The 22,103-nt window shown below is 49.6% G+C and overlaps 1 long non-coding RNA gene across 2 annotated transcripts, besides 2 other annotated features; it reads right to left on the reverse strand.

Annotated features, from left to right (window-relative positions):
* Positions 1–363: 363 nt before the first annotated feature.
* LOC105374117 (uncharacterized) lies at positions 364–5,700 on the reverse strand. Of its 2 annotated transcripts, XR_924516.3 has the most exons (4): positions 4,489–5,700; positions 1,804–4,018; positions 1,545–1,638; positions 364–814 (listed from the first exon to the last, which is right to left on the reverse strand). It is a non-coding gene; the product is annotated as an uncharacterized LOC105374117 (long non-coding RNA). The 2 variants fall into 2 exon arrangements; XR_924515.3 differs by having other exon boundaries at positions 364–1,638.
* Positions 1,854–2,354: an enhancer, noted in NCBI's record as "H3K4me1 hESC enhancer chr3:133784850-133785350 (GRCh37/hg19 assembly coordinates)". NCBI's record gives its function as "activates a minimal SCP1, AML or CMV promoter by ChIP-STARR-seq in primed H9 embryonic stem cells {active_cell/tissue: H9 hESC(primed)}" and the evidence as "EXISTENCE:reporter gene assay evidence [ECO:0000049][PMID:30033119]".
* Positions 3,731–4,231: an enhancer, noted in NCBI's record as "H3K4me1 hESC enhancer chr3:133786727-133787227 (GRCh37/hg19 assembly coordinates)". NCBI's record gives its function as "activates a minimal SCP1, AML or CMV promoter by ChIP-STARR-seq in naive H9 embryonic stem cells {active_cell/tissue: H9 hESC(naive)}" and the evidence as "EXISTENCE:reporter gene assay evidence [ECO:0000049][PMID:30033119]".
* Positions 5,701–22,103: the final 16,403 nt, after the last annotated feature.

Genomic DNA, 22,103 nt, shown 5'->3' on the forward strand with positions numbered 1-22,103 from the left:
GCAGTGTGGGGCCATGGATTTACTCACCTACTTATTTTTCCTACAGGATTTAGCCCGATTTCCTGGCATCCCCCTCTCCCCAACTAACCTCTCAACTTGGTCTGAGCCACTTCTGCAGGAAGGCTGTTGGGTTGAGCTGAGCTCAGAAGAGTGCTGGAAGAAATCTGGGTCACACAGTACCACTGCCCCCCACCCCAGGAGGGGAGCTCCTTCTGAGATGTGGGGAGCACAGTCATGGTGGGCATACACAGACCCAACTAGAAGGTCCCTTAGGGACCCCTGTTTCACTAATTGAGCAGCTGAGGCTAAGAGAGGGGAAGCGACTAGTCCAGGGTCTCACAGAGGTCACTGAAAATATCTGACTTAAAAAAAAAAACAGTTTTATTGAGGCATAACTAGCACATATTAAACCACACATATAGTGTACAATTTATTGTATTTTGACACACATATACACCCACTCAACCATCTCCACAGTCAAGATACTTCACATTCCCATCAGCTTCCAAATTTTCTCCTGTTCTTTTGTATCCCCCTTATTCCACACTCCAAGCCCCTCGGATCTATTTTCTACCACTATCGTTTAGTTTCTGCATATATTTTAAAATAGAGCTGACAGGACTGGCTGATAGATTGGGTGTACATTTTGAAAGAGAAGGGTCTAGAATGACTCTGAGAGTTTGGCCTGAGTAACCAAAAGCTGGAGTTGTCATCATTTGAGTTAAGGGAGGAAGGAACCTCAAGCAGCTCCCCACGTGGAAAAGGCATTGGTGGCAGCTTCCAGAAGAGCCTGGAGTTGCAGAGACAGCTTGTCCTGGAGAACAGAGATGGAATTGAAAGCCAGGGCTAACTAAGCCAGGCGTGGTAGCTCATGCCTGTAATCCCAGCACTTTGGGAGGCCGAGGTGGGTGGATCACTTAAGCCCAGGAGTTCGAGACCTCACTATGTAAAGACATAGTGAGACCCTGTCTTTACAAAAAATAAAAAAGTTCTATGGGTCTGGTGGTGTGTGCCTGTGGTCTCAGCTACTTGAGAGGCTGAGGCAGGTGGAATGCTTGAGCCCAGGAGGTGGAGGCGGCAGTAAGCCACTGCCCTCCAGCCTGGGGAACACAGGGAAATCCTGAATCCAAAAAGAAAGCCAGGACCTGAGGGAGGTCTCCAAGGATCAAGGGTACCTGGAGACAGAGCCTGGCTCTGGATGGCTTGTGGACCATCTCTCTAGAAAAATGCACTCTTGTCCACAACTCTGCTCCCCAAAAGGAGTCACAGAGTCCCTGAGCCCTGGAAAGGAGCCCTTCCAGGGCAGACCTGTGTCATTCCATCTTAATGTTTCTTCCAGGGCAGACCTGTGTCATTCCATCTTAATGTTTCTGGTGCCCGCACAGTGCCTGGCCCTGGTAAGAGCTTGTACATGCTTATTGAACCACGTGGCTGGAAGAATAAAGGGAAACTTTTCCCTTCTACAGTTAGGAACCCTCTTCTGCTTTCTTCCCAGAAGGCACACCAGGCCCTGAGTCACATGAATAGGATTTGCAGTCCTTTACCATCAGCTGGAGAGCGATTTCCCAGTCTGTAATGACCACTCCCAGGGACTGGGAGAGTTTCCCTTTCTCCAGCTCTCACCTCTGGCCTGTGATTCTGCGAGAAGGAAAAAGCAAAATGACGTTTGATTCAGTAACACCTTTCAAGAACTTTCCCTCAGCTGACCACCCAATAACCTTGCCAGTTAGCTCTTATCATCCCCACTTCACAGATGAGGAAAGGGAGGCTACAGAGAGAAGACAGGAGCAGGTTTGAACCCACCATCTCTGACATCACTGCAGCCTCCCTGCAAGGAGGACGTTCTGTTGAAGAAGGGGCAGCACCCTTGGTGGCATTGTACAAAGGCTTGAGGGACTCTGCCTCTCGTTTGAGGGTCTCCTCACTGGGCACTGCCCCTGAACAGGTCTCTTTTCACCCCTGCAAACATATATAAGACATTGTGTACCAGGCGGACGACTGCCCCTCTGACCCACCTGCCCAGCACCCTACCCTGGCCTGTTCTCTCATGTCAGCCCCACATCGTCCAGGCCCTAAACTGCCTCCTCCTACCCCAGCTGTATGCAGGACCTCATGGAAGTACCTTCTGAAGACCCCAATCCTGCTAAAACATTCCATTGTCTCTGCTTCCCCAGTAAGCATGGGCGGGCACTCCCACTGTGTCTGGCCAGCACACAGGCAGCAGGCACTGTCCCAGCCCTCCTGCAGCCGGAGTGAGTCAACGGATCACCCCCAAGAGAGTCACGGTGGCCATGAGGAGTGCTGCAGAGAAGTCCAGGGCGTGGGACAGAGGGACCAGCCCTCCGGGAGGTCCATACAGGCATCCCAGGGATTGAGGGGAGAGCTGGGGCTGAGGGATGAGGGGAGAGCGGTCCAGGCAGAGGAGAGAGCTGACAGAGGCATAAGGGGAGGAGAGGCCTGTGTGCCTGAGGGTAGACCAGGAAGACCAGAGAGGATGTCTGGAGGGAAAGCAGAACAGGAATCTGTGAGCCTTGGACACCAGCAGAGAAGCCAGCCCAGTAGCTGGGCCCAGGCACTGGGGTCTAGCAGGGGCCTTGTTTTGTGTGTGTGTTGGCAGGGAGTCCAGGCTGGGTGGTCACATGGCAGGCCCCAAGAACTTTGCCCGTCAGAGAGGAGGCTGCTGATGTCCCCACCCAGTTTATCTCACAGTTTATCTGTGGAGAAGAATTTCTGCCTTGGTCAAAAACTCTCAGTGGACTGTAGCCCAGGCCTTTGGTCTGCTGAGAGTTTCTGACTGAGGCGGAAAGGCTGAGCCCTGGAATCTGCTGACCTCTGACTCCTGCAAGGCTCAGGAGCTGAAGCTCATTCTTTCCAGTGCCAAAGCCCTGCTGAAGATGAGGGCGGGCAAGGCCCAGAGCCGGGCAGGGCTGCTCAGAAGCATCCACTTCCCTTAGGATGGTTCACACAAAGGCCTGGACTCTCCCCAGAGCCTCCTCCCTCCTCCTTGGCATCCTTTCCTGATAAGGAGAGGAAGGCCTCTGAGGCCAGGGTCAGCTATAAGCACACAGCCAGGAAAGTGCCAGCTCATTGCTTCCTGGGCAGAGCCCTGCCAAGAGTCCTGGAAGCCAGAGCCTTTCAGGAAACTTTGCCGTTGGTTTTTGGAAACCTGTCCTGCCGCTGCACAGGAGCAGGGCACACACGGCCTGCATTGGGAGGGAAGTCCCAGTGGCTGAAGGGAGTGGGGTCTTGGGGGATAGCTGTCAGGCAGTGCCCCGGGTGTGGGGAGGGCACCAGCCTCAGAGAGACCTCACCCTTGAGCACCATTCACCCTCAAGCCTCTGGGGCCTCATCTGTAGGATGAAAATCATAGCAGGTCTGCCAGCGCCCATGGAGAGGTTTGAGACAGTAGGAGGAACTAAGGTGCTTTCAAACTGTGAAGGGAGACTCCCCTAGTCCTGTTATCCTGGGGAGAGACACTGAGGTCAGCCAGTAACCACAAGCATCCATGGGAAGCAGAGAATTGGTGAGCTGCCTGGGGCCCTCAGGGACCCACAGCGCCAGGAGTCAGGTGAGGGCTGATGGAGACTTCCTCCGCACTAGTGCCCTTGATTCTGAAACCCAGTGCCTGGGATTCTTCTCCACAGATAAACTGTGAGTGCTGAATGCCCCTGTCACGCCAAGACTTGGGCTTGCGTTTGGGCTGGTGACTTAGCTGGATCCGTTGAGAGTCTTCTGCAGGGGCAGGGGATGCACACACACGCATTCTGGGAGTTCAGACTCTCCCCGGGGCGAGGAAGGCACAGGGAGCCTGGCTGCAGAGCCCCGGGAGGTCAGTGTGTGGGCGTGAGGACACAATTGAGAACAATTCCCAGGCGGTTCCCATTGCTCTCTGCACTCCGTTCTGGGTCTGCCTCCGTGGACTCTTCCCTGTGGTGAGTTCTCAAGGGTGTGGGTGTGGGTGTGTTTCCTTCTCCTTAGAGCTCAGAGTGTGGGTCACAGAGCAGGACCTCTGCATCTGCTGGGAAGATGAACAGAACACACTCATGAAGAACTCTCAACTCAAGCCTCTTTGTCTCTAGCACCTAGCACAGCATCTGCCATATAGCAAGTGCTCAATAAATACCTGCTAGCTATTTGCTCCCCCAATAAACCCTGGTCCACAGTCTAGTACTATTGGACATTTCCCAAACATGCCTCTTGTCTTCCAAACATGCCTCTTGTCTTCTAGCTTCCCAGCCCTGTTCTTTCTGCCTGGGGAAAGCCCCTCTTCCAATGAACATTTGGAGTGTCCTTCATGGGCCTCCTTTTCTGGGCTGACTTCTCTGACCTGTCTGACCCAGACTCAACACCACCCCCAGTCAAAGACTCCCAAGGACATTCCTCAGTCTTACTGACAACTTCCTGAATCTAAGTGCTCACTCACGCCTCCCAACCCCAGCCTTTTCCCTGGCCCTCACCCTAGTCTCAGCACCTAACTAGGGTACATACCAGCAGATGATGTCCAGCAGTTTGCAAAGACGCGTAGGTGTGCACGTGCCCTCTCTGACTTGCAGGGGTACATATTATCAGTGCACACATGCACATGCTCGCTGCTTTTCAGGAGACACCAGGCTGGCTAATAGAGGTGAGAGGTGCTCGACACGTCACCTCCCTCCATTGGAAAGTAAGTGGTGGTTTTAGAAGAGCACAGAGCTGGCTCCAGGAAGCCTAGGCAGGTGACCTTGGAAAAAATCACCTCCCTGAGCCTCAGTTCCTCCATCTGTAAAATGAAGGCGTGGGATCAGGTGATCTCTAAGGTCTCTCTTGGCACCAGAGGTCTGACACAGGGACACTGGGTGATCACATCATAAGAATGGGATTCCCCAGGCCGGGCGCAGTGGCTCACACCTGTAATCCCAGCACTTTGGGAGGCCGAGGCGGGTGGATCACCTGAAATCAGGAGTTCGAGACCAGCCTGGCTAACATGGTGAAACCCCGTCTCTACTAAAAACACAAAATTAGCTGGGCGTGGTGGCACGCGCCTGTAATCCCAGCTACTTGGGGGACTGAGGCAGGAGAATCGCTTGAACCCTAGAGGCAGAGGTTGCAGTGAGAGCCGAGATTGGGCCATTGCACTCCAGCCTCGGCAACACAATGAGACTCCATCTCCAAATTAAAAAAAAAAGAAAAGAAAAGAAAAGAAAAGAATGGGATTCCCCAGACTGACTGTGTGGGGAAGGGAAGGAGAGAAAGGTGAAAGGCAGCCGGCAGTGTCCCTGCACTCCATGCTCCCTGGGCCCTTCTGTCCGGAATTGGTGGGTTCTTGGTCTCACTGACTTCAAGAATGAAGCCGCGGACCCTCGCAGTGAGTGTTACAGCACTTAAGGTGGCGCGTCTGGAGTCTGTCCCTTCTGATGTTCAGATGTGTTCGGAGTTTCTTCCTTCTGGTGGGTTCCTTCGTAGTCTCGCTGGCTCAGGAGTGAAGCTGCAGACCTTCGCGGTGAGTGTTACAGCTCTTAAGGTAGCGCGTCTGGAGTTGTTCATTCCTCCCGGTGGGCTCGTGGTCTCGCTGGGCTCAAGAGTGAAGCTGCAGATCTTCCCGGTGAGTGTTACAGCTCATAAAAGCAGCGTGGACCCAAAGAGTGAGCAGTAGCAAGATTTATTGCAAAGAGCAAAAGAACAAAACTCCCACAGTGTGGAAGGGGACCCGAGCGCGTGGCCAATGCTGGCTCGGGCAGCCTGCTTTTATTCTCTTATCTGGCCCCACCCACATCCTGCTGATTGGTAGAGCCGAGTGGCCTGTTTTGACAGGGTGCTGATTGGTGCATTTACAATCCCTGAGCTAGATACAAAGGTTCTCCAAGTCCCCATCAGATTAGTTAGATACAGAGTGTAGACACAAAGGTTCTCCAAGGCCCTACCAGAGCAGCTAGATACAGAGTGTCGATTGGTGCACTCACAAACCTTGAGCTAAACACAGGGTGCTGATTGGTGTGTTTACAATCTCTGAGCTAGATATAAAGACTCTCCACGTCCCCACCAGACTCAGGAGCCCAGTTGGCTTCACCTAGTGGATCCCACACCGGGGCTGCAGGTGGAACTGCCTGCCAGTCCCGCGCCGTGCGCTCGCACTCCTCAGCCCTTGGGTGGTCGATGGGACTGGGCGCCGTGGAGCAGGGGGTGGTGCTCGTCGGGGAGGCTTGGGCCGCAGGGGAGCCCATGGAGTGGGTGGGAGGCTCAGGCATGGCGGGCTGCAGGTCCCGAGCCCTGCCCCGCGGGAAGGCAGCTAAGGCTCGGTGAGAAATCGAGCATAGTGCCGGTGGGCTGGCACTGCTGGGGGACCCAGTATACACTCCGCAGCCACTGGCCCGGGTGCTAAGTCCCTCATTACCCGGGCCGGCAGGGCTGGCTGGCTGCTCCGAGTGCGGGGCCGCCAAGCCCACGCCCACCCGGAACTCCAGCTGGCCTGCAAGCACCGCACGCAGCCCCGGTTCCTGCTGGCACCTCTCCCTCCACACCTCCCTGCAAGCTGAGGGAGTGGGCTCCAGCCTTGGCCAGCCCAGAAAGGGGCTCCCACAGTGCAGTGGTGGGCTGAAGGGCTCCTCAAATGCCGCCAAAGTGGGAGCCCAGGCAGAGGAGGTGCCAAGAGCAAGCGAGGGCTCTGAGGACTGCCAGCATGCTGTCACCTCTCACTTCCATCCTGTTAGTCCCTAGCGAGGCACCCGCCGAGAACCACCCCAGCGGCTGAAGAGACAGCCAGCAGATAGCCAGGCCCCCTGTCAGGTCTTTGCCTCGTTTTACTGTGTCTATTATAGATCCCCTGGGGTGTGGTGAGGAGGGGCCTGTGGTCAGCTGTCCCACTGCATTTCAGGCAGATTTCCTGAGGAGCAAGCCCTGGAGTCGGCTTCTAATTTCAGAGAAGAGAGAACAAATGGAGTCCAGTGAAGGGCTGCTCTTTCAAGAACATGAAAGCCAGCTGTTGTTTCTGCAGCCTGCAGACTGCCCCCCTCCCCTGGCAGCTGCTCCCCTGAGGAGGCCGGCACCCCTCACCCTGTCCTTAGAAGCCGGGTCCCAGAACGCCCTCTCAGTTCCAACCAGCAGCACTTCCGGCTGGGATTCTCCATCTTGGACTTGCTCCCGGGAATTTCTGGAAGCATCCAATGGTGCAAACAGATTGTTTTCATTATGATTATTCTGGGTTTAACCTACTGGCCTTGCATCACCAAGATTATGGGCCCGCTCTTAGCACTGCGTGAGGCCACGGGCCTTTCTTTCCTTCTGCTCACCACCTGAATTAGTCTTTATTTTCCTCAATCCAACCCTGGCCCCTGTCTTGAGAGGCCTCGAGCCTTCCACACACCCTCTTTGCCTCCTCTAGGCTATGTCTGAGGAAGTTGAAAGGCCTGGGGACGGCAGAGAGGCCTGCAAGGCCCTGCCCTCCTGCCCTAACCTGTGACCCTGATGAAATCCTCTCTCTTTCTCTCCAAGCCTCTTCCCAGAGGGCTTCCAGGGGCTCTGCCAACATTTACTTTGAATGTTTTTTACTGTGAAGATTTTGCTATTCAAAATTGTAATAAATACAACACACCCACACAAATGTGTTACGTATAAATTTTAGTATATTGAAAACTACCAACACATTAACTTGGGCCACTGCATTAATTTGTTTTTTCTTTTTTTTTGAGAAGAACTTAGAATAAAACTCCTATTTAATTAGAGGTGGTCCTGGGAACATCAGGAGAGCTGATTAAAAATAAAACTAGGGGCTGGGCGTGGTGGCTCATGCCTGTAATCTCAGCACTTTGGGAGGCCGAGGCGGACGGATCATGAAGTCAGGAGCTCGAGACCAGCCTGGCCAACATGGTGAAACCCCATCTCTACTAAAGATACAAAAAATTAGCCGGGCATGGTGGCAGGCGCCTGTAATCACAGCTACTCGGAAGGCTGAGGCAGGAGAATCGCTTGAACCTGGGAGGCGGAGGTTGCAGTGAGCCGAGATGGCGCCAGTGCACTCCAGCCTGGGTGACAGGGTGAGACTCCATCTCAAAAATTATAATAATAATAAAATAAAAATAAAACTAGGCCAGGCGCAGTGGCTCAGCCTGTAATCCCAGCACTTTGGGAGGCGGAGGCAGGTGAATCCCCTGAGGTTAGGAGTTTGAAACCAACCTGACCAACATGGTGAGACTTCATCTCTACTAAAAATACAAAAATTATCCGGGCATGATGGTGGTCACCTGTAATCCCAGCTACTTGGGAAGCTGAGACAGAAGAATTGCTTGAACCTAAGAGGCGGAGGTTGCAGTGAGCCGAGATCGCACCATTGCACTGCAGCCTGGGCTACAGAGTGAGACTCCATCTCAAAAATAAATAAATAAATAAATAATAAAAATAAAAGCATCTTACCAGTTGTAAGTACTTCACCATGCAAAACAGGATTTCTTGATATTGCACAATGGAGGTAGACAGCAGTGGTTCTCAAGGGGGCGATTTTGCTCCCATACCCCCACCCCCAGGGACATTTGAGTGTCTGGAGATGTCTTTTTGGTTTTCACAAGTGAAGTTGTTACTAATTGCATGAGGTGGGTAGAAACCAGGGTTGCTGCTACACATCCTTCAGGGCACAGAGCAGCCCCACGACAGAGAATTATCTGGACCCAATGGTAATAATGCCAAGGCTGAGTACCCTGATATACGGGGAGGCACCAGATGCCTGGGATTGGCACGAGACTCTGTTCATCAAAACTGCCTTAATAAGTCAAGGCGACAAATGGCAGCAAATAACGATATGTAATAAAACACTGTTTATATGGGATTCCAGGTAAGATTCCTTTAAAAAAATATCAGTAACTGAGAAAGTGTGACTGGCTGAGCCGGTTGCTATTTAAGGCACTCCTGACAGCCTGACCCCGCTGTGTGTCCACTCAGCCACTCCCTCGGCTGCAGGGGAGACACAGCCCCTTAGGGTGAGCCTTCCGCGTGGACAGGAGAAGTGGGTTTCTCCTATCACTAGAGTGTGCACTGCACAGGGGCAGAGGTTTTGGTCTGCTCTGTGCCTGGTCCAAAGCAGGCGCTCATTAAATACTCTGAATGGAAGCGAAACTTATTCCCAATGCTTCCAGGACCTGGAGGTTCTCCCTCCATTTGAACGGTGGGAAAGGGGTTAGGCTGTCCTGGGAAGCTCTCTCCTCTGCCACCCGGCTGCTCTTGGCCCAGCTGGGCACGTCAGCTGTGCACGGGAGACTTGCTGCTCGCAGGAACTTCTTGACATCACAGGCACCTTGCCTTCTCCAAGTCCTCTGGTCAGGGAGGGTCAGCATGGACACCTCCAGGAGTGCACCTTGAGGCCTCCCATTCATCTTTGAAGGCTCCTCCCAGAATCCCATGCACTGTGAAAATCCACTCCACACCTCAAGAGCCTCAGTCTGGTGGGCTTGGGGCTGGCGCTCAGGGGCACATTAGTCCACAGCGTCTAAAGGTAAGCAATAAAAATTTCTAAGTTGCCTTCCCTTTCCAGGGCACAGGACAGGGCCCTGGCAAGTCATGGACAGAATCTACCTGTTATTTTTGGAGGCTTCTAGGGTGACCGTCTTGACACAGCTGCCATGGTGACCATGCAGCGACCGCTTTCCCCCAGTGTGTGAAGCCCCTGCTAGGCACCAGTAGCACAACAGTCAATGCACTCATGGCTCACCCCACTGAAGTTCACCATTAACCATTGTAGGGAAGAGTCATAGAGTTCTAAGCCCCCAAAGGCAAGTATCCCAGCCCTGTAATGTTAGCCTCCTGGCAAAATTTGTTTCTTTATTCTTGATCATCCAGGAGCTGTTACCAGACAATTACCGGCATGGTGGCAACTGTCAGAGTGGTGGGCTTAGCTCATGGTCTTTACTCTGCTAGACCATGAGCTCTCTGAGGGCAAACTTTGTCCCATTGATCCCTGAACTCCAAGAGGGACCCTGTGAGTGTGTGTGGAAGGTCCTTGTACTGTGGTGCCAGGATGGCGGGTGCCCTAACAGATTCTGGCACTCCCCTACCCTGGCCAAGGGTGGCCGTCACCATGAAGGTGCACATGTTGGGCCACTCAGCTTTCCACCCTGGCCCCACCAGTCCCAGACCTCAGACACAGCGCTAATCTCTCCAAGTCTAGATTTCCTCAACTATCATATCACCCACCTCCTTTGTCAGCCATGAGGATTACACTGGATTATCTGTGTGAAGTGCTTAGAACAGTGCCAGGCACATAGTAAGTCCTCAGCAAATGCTAGACACCACCAGCGCTGCCTTCCTGCCACATCCAGCAGCCTTCAGGTCAGCATTGGCCACAGGAGGATACCTGTTTGTCCCCCAGTTAGGAGACCCTTTTATTCCTTTGAGTCCAGAGCCCTGACATGGTCTCTTAAAGGAGGAGCATGGAAGCATCCCCCCGTGGGAGAGAGCTGGTGCTGCTGAGTGGCCAGAACAAAGTCTCAAGCCACAATATCCAGAGACTCAGAGACTGGACAATCCGCCGCCTCCCCACACTGGCAGGTCTCCCCACTTCCTCACGGGTCATGCCTGGGAGTGTGGAACTGCTGTGGGCTCAGCCCTGACCTCTGACTTAGGAGAAGAGCCGCTCCTCAGTTGTCACCGCTGCTATTCAACTTGCAGAGATCTTGGGGGAGGGAAGAGGGGATATCCCTGCCAGCACATCCAAGAGGAAAGGGTGCTGTTTCCATTTCAGCAGGCCCTATTGTTTCAAAGGACACAATGCTTCCCCACTGTGGAAATGTGGACGTTTCCCACAACGGCAGGATTGGCTCAGAATTCCTCATGTCTTGCAGTTGAGGCTGGGCTAGCTGGGCAGTGTGTCTATAACAAAAGTCCTCACCAAATTTGCCATCTAGTGGAGCCTAAACATTACCTTCCAGTATCAAATGTGAGAATTTTGGTCCAAATATGGCAACTGAGCTTATTCACTTCCAGTGGGGCTCCTGTAGGACAAGAATAGGCTTCATCCAGCTGTTGGAGTCAGAAGAGCAGCCAAGAGGGCCCTCCTCCCCTTCAGGAGACTCCAAAGAGAGCGGCACCGCATGGTGGAGCCTAGAAGGAAGGAGACCAAGACTTTGGGTTTTCTTCAAGCTTGTGTCTTTCCCCACCACCAAGACGTGGGTGTGGAGAAGAAACTGAGGCCTGTTCTGGAGGCTTGCTTTGCTGCATCAGTGAGGCTGAGAGGAACTATTGTAGAGGTTATTGTAGGGTCTATCTTTGACATCTCCGTGCCTGCCCCTGAGAGGGACCGCCCCCTCCACTTAGCCTGATCCTCCCACAACCTTCCCCATCACCACCTTTCGGTGCTCAGAACGAAACCCTGGGGTTGCACTGATGCCTCTCTCACTCTCACACCCCTATCTCATCCATCAGCATCCTGCTGGCCCTTCCTGCAGCATCATCTCAGAACCGGCCCATCTCTCACCCCATCCACGGCGGCCTTCCCAGGCCAGGTACTTCTTCCCCTACCTGGGCTATTGCCATGGCCTCCTCCCTGGTCTGGTTAAAAGCAATCATTTTAACATGCAAGCCCAATGTCATCACTGGCCTAGAATACTCCAGAGTCCAGACAGCCCTTCCCATCTCACACAGGGAAAACTCCAAAGTCCTTTCTGTGGCCTGCACAATCTGCACCCCCATCCCCAGCAACCTGATCTAGGATCCCATATCATATCTCTGTCCCTCGCTTCTCCATCTCCAAATGCACTGGGCTCTGTCAGCCATGGGGCCTGTACTGCTGCCCCAGGCTCCACTCCCAGACATGGCATGGAACCCTTCCTCACTTCCTTCAAGTCCCCATTTAGGTAACCCCTCATCAGAGAGGAATTCCCTGAGCACCCAACAAAATTCCTGGTGCTCACTGCACAGCACACCCTGGCCTCTTGTACTATTCGCTCATAGCATTGCCAACCCACGAGCTGTGTGTCTATTGCTTGTTTATTGTTTGTCTCCCTAGAGTATCAGCGCCTTGAGGGCTGGACATTCTATGGTTCTTGGCTGTGTCCCCTGTGCTTAGCCATCCATGGAAGGAGCTCAAGCAATGCTTGTTGAAAACGTGATGATTAAATAAATGATGCTGAGACGTCAGCTACAGACACCCATGTTTCGGCTCTCCCGCTTCCAGCTTATTGGGTTGGGTACCACCAATCCCCACATAGGCCAGCAACAATGGCATGGTCTAGTGGGGAATGCTCAGCCCATGCAGATGGTGGGGATTCTCTGGACCAACCCCAGGTCTGCCTTTTAGCTCCCTCTCTCTCAGGAGTTTAGAGAGGACTAGCCAGGCAATAGCAAGAAAAAGAAAGCGTCCTTAGTTGCAGATGGGGGCTCACCATGGAGAGACCACAGGCTCCAGGACCGGGCCCCCAGGCCAACCCAGTTCTCTGGTTCCAGGTGCCTTTGGAAGCCATCAGACAACAAGTGAAGCACTGTTTTACACATTTAATATTGTGTCACTGGTGTGGATATTGGCACTGGGGTTGTAGTACTGTTGGGTTGCTGTGTGTGTGTAAATAGGAGGGTTCAGGGAAGTCCTGTGTGAGGTAGAGGAATGCCTTCAGCAGCCTTTGGTGGGGGTTGGGCTAGTCTGGGAAAGCATCCCAGAGAGGAGGGTCAAGGAACGTGCTCACAACTTCAATAGATGACAATGGACGTGAGAGGGTATTCTAGGGAGAATAAAACACAACAAGAAGCAACAGAACTGTTTCTTGGACAAGGGCTGGGAAACTGGAAAACAATTGCCCAGATTGGCCAGAGTGTAGGATTCACACTGTAAGGGCAGGGCAGGAAGAGATTCTGGAGCACCTACTATGTGCCAGGCCCTGTGCGAGGTGGTAGAGGGTGAATAAGGCCTGATATCCCCACCCCCACAGCCTGCACAGGGAAGTTGGTGTCAGCATCTCTCTCTCCTCCTCTCTCTCTTTTACACACACACACACACACACACACACACACACAGAGCGAAGACAATGAAATGGTTGAGTGGCCTCTGTCAAGTCTTTGAAACTGTTTCTCCCAACAGAATACAAGTAGTGGAGCTACAAGACCCACAGGGCAGCTCACAGGCTGCACCAGCTCCTGTTCTGCACTTTCCCAGGGCCATCTCTCACCTTGAAACCAATCCCTTCAGGGGGGTCCTTGTCCCTTCCTAGAAAGCACCCAACTACTTCCTCTCATCAGAAATGTTTAGAGACTCTCAGATATGTTGTTAGTGGGAAAAGCAGGGTGAGGAACAGTGTGTGAGCAGCCTGGTACTTTGTGCAATGTTAAAAGTCCCTGCAACAATGACATGTGGCTTTGCTCTGGAAGGAAAAAAGATATGTGGGGTGGGGACGAATGGATATTGGATTCTACTGTGTTTTATTACACACATTTGGAACTGTGTAGCAGGCTTATGTTTTATTTAATTGAAATAAGCAATTCATTAATTTTTTAAAGTTTTTTTTCAATTCTCAGGCTATGAGGAGCCAGACTGTTTGTTTCATGAGCAAGTCCTCAAGTGTGGTGGCCCACAGGCCTTCCTTACCATTGGGCATCTGCCAAGTGCTGCAGCCCCAGGCACACCACGGCTGCAGCCAACCATGCACAGAGCATGTGGGCTGGAAGGCACATGGCTGCCCATGGAGGCCGGAGCCTGGACAGCCAGGCTGTATCTGGGCCCCTCTGGCAGTTGCAGCCCAAGTGGGCTGAAGTCTATACATCTGCTCAGACCTCCTGCCATTCTCTTGGAGAATCAGGGGCCCAGGAGAGGAAGTCTCATTTTCCATACCTCAGCCTGGTGCCTACCCTCAGCTGTATTAGAGTGAAAACAGGCAGGGCCTGGGGCTGGGAGCAGACATCCTGCCACACCTGGGAACATCCCTACCAGGGCTGCCCCAGCGGGAAGGCTTCATTCACTAGAGGAAATTGGGTGCTATTAGGTGCCAGGGGGGGTGCCAGGCCACTAAAAGTGGCTGAACATTCTCCCAGAGGGATAATGGAACACAATGCACTTGAAACTGCGGGGAGAAAAATGCAACGGTGTTTGATTGGATCAAAAGGAGCATGGGATGAGTAACCAGTCACAGGAGACTACACTCACTTCCCATTGACAGACTGCCCTACGAGGGAAGGAGTCCAGAGCTTTGAAGGATTTGTTCAGCTATTTTGAACGTGAAGTTATAATTTCAGAGGCAAGTAATGGGATTTGGGATGTATGACTCAAGTTATAAATCTATTGGGGCTAAAACCTCAAGGAGCCTGAAGAGCCATGCCTGAGACTGTTCCTTGGCTTCTAGCGGGAACCAAAGAGCCAGAGGCCGAGAAAGATCCTCGCCAGTTCAGCAGCCCTCCAACATTGGAAAGGGCGGGTGGATCCAAGCACAAGCCCCACTTTCTGGCTGAGTAGCCTACTCCTTGGCAATCTTGGGGTATCCCACAATCTCTGAAAGGACATTTTTCTATCACGAAAATTTTGAAATAATTGGAGCTGCAAGATGCCATCAGTGACAAATCTGGCATGAAAACTCCTGCCATGAGTCCTAAAGGTCAGGCTGCCAAATACCAGTGTTCTCACTCACTTGGTCAGTATTAAACAATGACTAACCCCAATGAATAGAGATGATTAGATCAGTTTCAGGGGACTGCTTTTTATTACATTAAAACCCAATTTCAGAATAGCTAATAAGCCAACTATACACCTCACTATAGTTATCAATAAAACATTAACCTCAACCAATCTTGGACAGGGAAGAGGGTATTCAGTTACAGTTGATACCAAAGGCCAAAAGCCTTGTCAAAAACCTTTCCCAGCCACAGACTGGGAGAAAGGAGCCAGGTGCCCCTGTTTTCCCTGATGGTTCATCCTTCCAAGAGGGCCCTGTTTTCACTTTAAGACATTTCTGGTCCCTTCCGTGACAGAAGTTATGCTTGTTTTGTCCTGCCATGTGACCTTTTGAGAACAGTGGGGTGGAGCTGTCTCCAACCTCTGGCAGGAGTATCAGGGGCCCCTTGACCCAGGCCTGTCTTCCCAATAGGGTGATGAAGTGTCCCAGTTGACCTAGGACTAAGGGGACCCCGGGGTGTGGGACTACCAGAACTAAAACCAGAAAAGTTCAGGACAAACTGGGACAAGTTGCTCAACCTACTTCCTAATCACTCAGTCCTATCATAGCTGCCTCCTCCCCTTGGATCCACGAGGACTGGGACTGAGGAGGGACAGTGCGGTGTCTACAAGAATAAGTCAAACAATTTCTCCCACGTGATGTTCCTCTTGCCCCAGACTCTGTGCCAAGGACTTTTCATGCATTATCTCATCTCACACTTTCCACAAATGCTTTCCCCATGAGTCCCAGAGAAGTTAAGCAACTTGTCCATTGTTACTCAGCCACCAGGTGAGAGGCAGGGGACACAGGTCAATGTGATGTCAAAGCCTCACACTTCACCCAGGAGCCATACAAATATAAACCAAGCAATCATTCTACATTTTCAGATACTAGTTGTCTTTAAAAATCTTTAAAACTTTTTAAAAAATCTTTAAAATTTGTCTTTAAAATTTTTGATTGAGAAACCCTAAAAGTTTTTTTTTTGAAAAGCATTGTACTTGCTCAAAATTACACGCAAAGTATTTTATCACAGTCTAAATTGCTCCAAATATACAATTTCTGATATATGGTAAACATTAAATGAAATTGTCACATTGATCTTTAAAGTATATCCAAAGTTGGGAATGCAAAAATGGTCTAAACTCTATGGAGGTGAATTTGGTAACATCTAACAAAATTACAGAAGCATTTTCCCCTTTACCCAGAAATTCCTGTTTCTAGGAAACTGTTACAAGGATACACTGGCAAATAATGTAAAATGACACATCATAAGGCTATTTACTGAAGCACTGTAATAGCAAAAGATTGGTAATACACATTTTGAGTGATAGGAGACTGTCTTAGTAAATCACAGCATGTTCACACAATGGAGTGCTATGCAGCTTAAAAAGGAATAAGGAGAATTGCTGTATATGTTTTTGGTATAATCTTCAGGGCATATATTATTAAATGAAAAAAGCAAGGTGTAGAATCATGTGTGTAGTATGCTATCTTTTATGTAAGGGCTGAGGGAATATAAAGATTCATATTTGCCTATATTTTAAAATGAAAGAAATAATATTTGAAGAGTAAATGAAAATGGTTTCCCATATGGGAAGGGAGTGTAAAGAAATTAGGAGAAGAGAATGGAAGCTGAATTTCTCTGGCTGTACCTTGCTTTATAGTTTTGACTTTAGAATCATATAAATATTTTACAGATAATTAAGCAAACTTAAAGCAAAAGAAAATATCCCTAAAAATCAAACACAAAACAAAACAAATGAACCTAACTGGATATCAAGTTGGTGGCTTAACCTTACAGAGAATTATTAAAGTGATTTTAAAATACAATAATTTGGTGAATATTCCAAATAAGACATATAGTAAATGAACTGCAAAGAAATCTTAAATTGATTACTTCATCATATTGTGGTACTAATGTTAGTAATGTTATGTTGAAACTATTATATATTAGGATAAAATGAATAATTATGTTAGTAAAAATCAAAATGTTCAATGTAAAAGAGATACAAGTACAAAATTTAAAAAGTTAAGTCAAATACCATAATCTAAATTTTTAATCTAAAATATTAATATTGACTCACAAAATATTTTTATATTTCAAAACAAGTATCTATTTCCTCACTCAGTCTTCTGAAAAGACCTGGAATCAATGACCAACCCAACAGCAATGAGCACCCTTAGCTCCCAGATTATGGTCTCTAAATCTCATCTCCCAAGGAAAGATTCCTTGAGAAAATGTCTGAAGGTCTGAAGCAGAAAATGTACAGGGGAAGCCCACAGCACTTCCTCAAACTAAAAGGCAAGGATGTTATCCAAGACTACTGAGGTCATGTCAAAAGATCACAGGAGCCAAGTCAAAGTGGCTCCACTGGCCAGAGATGGGACAATTTGAGTATTGAAAAGAATAATGACCACAATGAAGGGAAATATATCAAATATATTTTGAAACAACTGAGTCCATACACAATAATATGAAAAAACAAAACACTGTTAGTCTTATGCCGTGGGCCCTGAGCACCCTTTCACGCATGCTCAGTATGTAAAGAATGCAAGGCCTTGTCCACTATTTACCCAGGCCATTTAGCCATCTATCAGGGTTATGTTTGCAGACAGTAGCCTTGAGGAATGAGCAATGTCACCCTGCAGGACAAAGGGGAATCTCTCCCATCTCCCAAGCTCAGTGTTTCTCAGCTGCTATGCAACCCTGCTTCTTGTACAGCATCTACCTGGGCCATGCCACGTTGCCCTTGTGGAGCTGGGAAACAGGGGAATTGATGTAAATATGAAGTTCATGCTGCTTGCTGTGCTATGAGTAATAAAGTTCTTTGTCTCTGATCCAGGAATTGCAAGTCTTCTGCTGACATCCATAAAACTGGCAGGATAACTTGGTGGCTTTTAGAAAGAAAAGATCCCAGATACTGACACCCATCTCAATGTCACCTTTGACAATTATTAGGACACCAGCTCATTATTTTGAAAACTGGTAAAAGGCAAGTATTTCTCTTCAATTCCTGCACAATCTATATTTCGGGGTAACCAAATAGTTGATGTAGAAAAGTCCTTTACAGAAGAATTTTAGCTAATAAATTCAGGAGTGGATAGATTTTGAAAATCACCATTTTACATAACCTAATATAATAATAGATCTATAATAATAGGCAATGCTTATTAATGGCCATCTTTTAAAACTACCAGCTGGAATGTTGATGAAAAACTCTACAAGGAATGCCTAACAAAAACAGAAACAACAGACATTATGTGACTACCAGTATGATAAAATAAGAATGAAATCATGCCATTGTTGAGATATCCTTATAGAAACTTTATCATGAATTTGATTAGGCCTCCAGATCTAACTACCACTGACAAGAAAGACAGGGAATAGAGGAACATGTTAAAGACTCGAAGAGGGAGGTAATCAACAAACTCCAGAATATGGAAAATTCTACAGCAGTGGTCCCCAACCCCTGGGCCTGTTAGGAACCAGGCTGCACAGCAGGAGGTGAGTGGCTGGTGAGTAAGTGAAGCTTCATCTGTACTTACAGCCACTCCCCATCACTCACATTACCACTGCAATGATCAGCAGCAGCATTAGATTCTTATAGGAGCATGAACCCTATTGTGAACTGCGCATACAAGGGATCTAGGTTGTGTGCTCTTATGAGAATCTAATGCCTGATGGTATGTCACTGTCTCCCATCACCCCCAGATGGGATTGTCTAGTCGTAGGAAAACAAGCTCAGAGCTCCTGCTGATTCTACAACATTATGGTGAGCTGTATAATTATTTAATTATATATTATAATGTAATAATAGAAATAAAGTGCACAATAAATGTAATGTGCTTGAATCATCCCAAAACCATCCCACCCCTCCTGCCTCCAGGTCTGTGGAAAAATTGTCTTCCATGAAACCGGTCCTTGCTGCCAAAAAGGTTGGGGACCACTCTTCTACAGGACAGACAACTTGGTTTCTTCAACAAATAAGTCTGGGGGACCCTCATCAGTACTCAAGGCCTGAGCAGGTTCTGGAGCTCAGCACCCTGAGGGTTGGCCCTAAGAGCCCCATGACTTGTAGGAAGCTACTTGCTAGTGTTTGAGGGTTTCCAACCCTTCCTGATAACAGGGCGATAGACCCCTTTCCCAGGACTCCAGTTCCCACAAAGGAAAAAACAAAAAGTGGGAGTCTTAAAGAAACTTAAGAAAAATGTCAGCCAAATGCAATCAATGTGTGAGCTGTGTTTGGATCCTGATTTAAACAAACCAACTACAAATGGCCATCAGTGAGGCAACTAGGGAATTTAAACTAGAGATATTTGATGATATTGAGGAATGATTATTAACTTTCAGGTGTTATAACAGCATGTGGTTATGTTTTTGAAAAAAGAGTTCTTACTTCTTAGAGGTACTGAAGTATTTACAGATGAAGTGATATGTGTCTGGAATTTGCTTTAAGTAATCCAGTGGCCAGAGGCAAAGGAAGAAGTGGGAGAGGGAACTGGAGATGAAACAAGATTGATCATATGTTAAAAATGTTTAAAGCTGGTCATGGACACATGGGAGATTTTCTCGATTATTTTCTCTACTTTTGTGATTGTTTGAAAATTTCCATAGTAAAAAGATATTTTTAAACAAATTGGTACTATTCCTTAGCTCCTTAAGTAATGCACCTAATGAAATCCACGTACATGGTAATTATGTAGTTGGCAGAACGAAAACAGTACATCAAATCAGAGAAGAAGGCATTAATCCTATTGAAGCAAAGCTGACTTTCTAAAGATTCTGGGCATTCCATTCCTAAATAGCATTTGGGAACTTTTTGTCCCATGCCCATACCTAAGTAGATGGTCTGCTTTTAATTTACATTTTGGAAACTGTTTGCATAAAGGGAAGGTTAAAATATTACTACTGTCAATCATATGAAAGACAACAGATATTTGGATGTCAAAAGAGTTGATTCACTTGAAAAGATTGGAACTCACTAGACAGGGGCTAAGCGGGAGTATGGCCTTTCAGGCACTATCTCAGCTTCCTCTGCCCCGTCTCTGAATCCACTGGGTGCCATCACTCTGCCTCCCAGCCTGCACTGTGAACTTGCCATTGAGCCCTCTGGGGCCAGCATGCTCATGTCAGCCTTCCTTCTCTCCTCTGCTGGTTTGCCTTTCTCTCTCCAGCTCCTGTCTCAGCCTGCAGCCATGGCATGTGGCACAGTGTGGGAAGGGGCCAGACTCCTGACCCTGCTGTAAATCTCCCTGCGAGGAAGGGCTCAAGTTCTCACTTTCCCTTCTCTGGGTCTACAGGTAGCCTTCCTTCACCAGCCCTAGCCAGGAAGGTAGGCAGCCTCCTGTGCCCTCCTGGCCTCCTGGGAAGCTGGCCAGGCTGGAACCCACCACCTAGGTCCTCCCCACCCTTTGTAGGGTGCTGCCCTGGATGGAAGGTGAGTGAGGAGGTGCACACAGAATCAGAGGGGCAGAGTAGAAGGCTAGCAGAAGAGAGCATGTGGTGGAACCAAAAGGATGGGCTTATATACCCCCAAAGTAGGCACAGGCACAGTCTGCACACACTTGAAGAATGAAAAGGTGAGTGAGTCCAAAATATGGTCAGCCTGATGAGAGGGAGAGGCAGCCTGGGAAGGGAGTCAGCCAGTTACTGATTCAATCTTCTAGAAAATAGAGGCTGTGAGCCAGACCCTGGCTGAGCAGCTGGGGTCTGCAGTGCTTGGGACATGACCCTACAGCTGAAGGCTCCCTATTTAGATGTCACAGCTTGATACCTAAAGGACTGTCATCAGAGCATTGGCCTGGGAAATCCTAATTGGGGTTCAGGGCCTGGGGGACCCTCATCAGTGCTCGGGGCCTGAGAGAGCAGGTTCTGGAGCTCAGCACCCCTGAGGGTTGGCCCTAAGAACTTCGTGACTTGTAGCTACTTGTTAGTGTTTGAGGGTTTCCAATCCTTCCTGATAACAGGGCCATAGACCCTTTTCCCAGGACTCCAGTTCCCAAACAGGAAAGGTTGGCTGCCAATGTAGTGAGATCAGGCCAGGTAAGAGGAAAGGAAAGGCCTCCCCAGGACTCTTGCCTATAACCAGCAGCTGAGCCAGCCTCACCCTGCAGAGAGAAGCACCCCCCAGGTGAGGGACTGTGAGTGCAAAAGTTGGCAAAGCACTGCCCTAAGTGGCTCTGATGCCCCTGTTCCCTGACCTCCTCAGCTGGGCTCCCTAAGCTGTGGCAGCATGAACAAGGAGAGTGAGGGCCAGAGGACACTAGGTCCCCAGGAGGAGCCCCTGTGAGTCCAGCCAACCCAACACATCCCACTCAGAGGCAAACAGAACCCGACATGAACTCCTAGTATCTCTTTGACCTCACCCCGCTTCTGGTTTCTCTAGGGCAGGGTGGGGACATAGCCCAGGATGTCAGATTTAAGAACAGGCCACGCTAAAGCGCAAACGTTTTGATCAGACTGGCAAATGTGCATGCTGTGGCCCGCACTGGCCCTGCGGACCTGCCTTCCTCTGCCCCATTGGATCCTGCACATAGTCTGCCATGACCACTCAACCGTTTGTCATCCATAAGAGTGTGTCACATGTGTCTCATCATGAGTTCCTTGACTCAGCGGCAGCACAGGGCCTGCCACAGAGGCACAAATGAGAGAAGTTGAGTCAATAAGAGGGAGAGAGGAGTGGACGATGCTCGTAGCCTTGGGAGCCCTCTGGGAAGTGCCCTGCTTATTTGGCCCTTGGCTGTATAGCTGCAAAGGAAGGTGGCATTTGGCCGAGCCCAGAGGGTTGCAAAGCCAGACTTCCCAGGAGAAAAGTTCCAAGGGCTGAAATTCCTCAGTCCAAGAAGCAGAGGCTACCCAGGGACTGGAATCAGCTTTCCCAGGATGTGCTCAGCTTCCATCCAGATGTGTGATGAGCAAGGGCCTCAGATGTGCCTTGGCTCTCTAGATGACTCATGCAGCCAGAGTGGGCATCGGAAGTCCACTGAGCAGAGGCCCCATTGGCTCAGGCTCCTCTACCTGCCCTGGGGATTCCATTTCAGAACCTCCTGCAGGGTCAGGAAGCATGTGGCAGAGGGCAGGGTGGGAGCAGCAGGACTTTATACCATACAACCTGAGTGGCACACTGGAATCACATTTTTCAAAATATTAATATTCTAGTCCCACCCCAGACCAATTGAATCAGAAGCAGTGGGGTGGGGCCCAGGTGTTGATAATTTTTTGAAGTTTGCCAAGGGATTACAGTGTGCAGCCGAGACAGAGAATCCCTGGCCTAGCTCTAATTGGCTCTAACTTCTCATGAAATAAAATGCAAAAAAGTAGTGAGAAGGAGGTGCTTGGAGGTGAGCCTCTGGCCATGGCATCTATGGCGACCTGACTTAAGCTTCATTGTCATCTCTCCTGGACCATGCGTTACAGCATTACCTGCCAACTGGTCCTTGTCCCCAAGATAAAATGCAAACTCCTGAGCCTGGCACACAACAGAATGCCCACTGCCCAGAAAACAACCTTGA

The sequence above is a fragment of the Homo sapiens genome, chromosome 3 (assembly GCF_000001405.40).
Source record: "Homo sapiens chromosome 3, GRCh38.p14 Primary Assembly".
Lineage (NCBI taxonomy): Eukaryota > Metazoa > Chordata > Mammalia > Primates > Hominidae > Homo > Homo sapiens.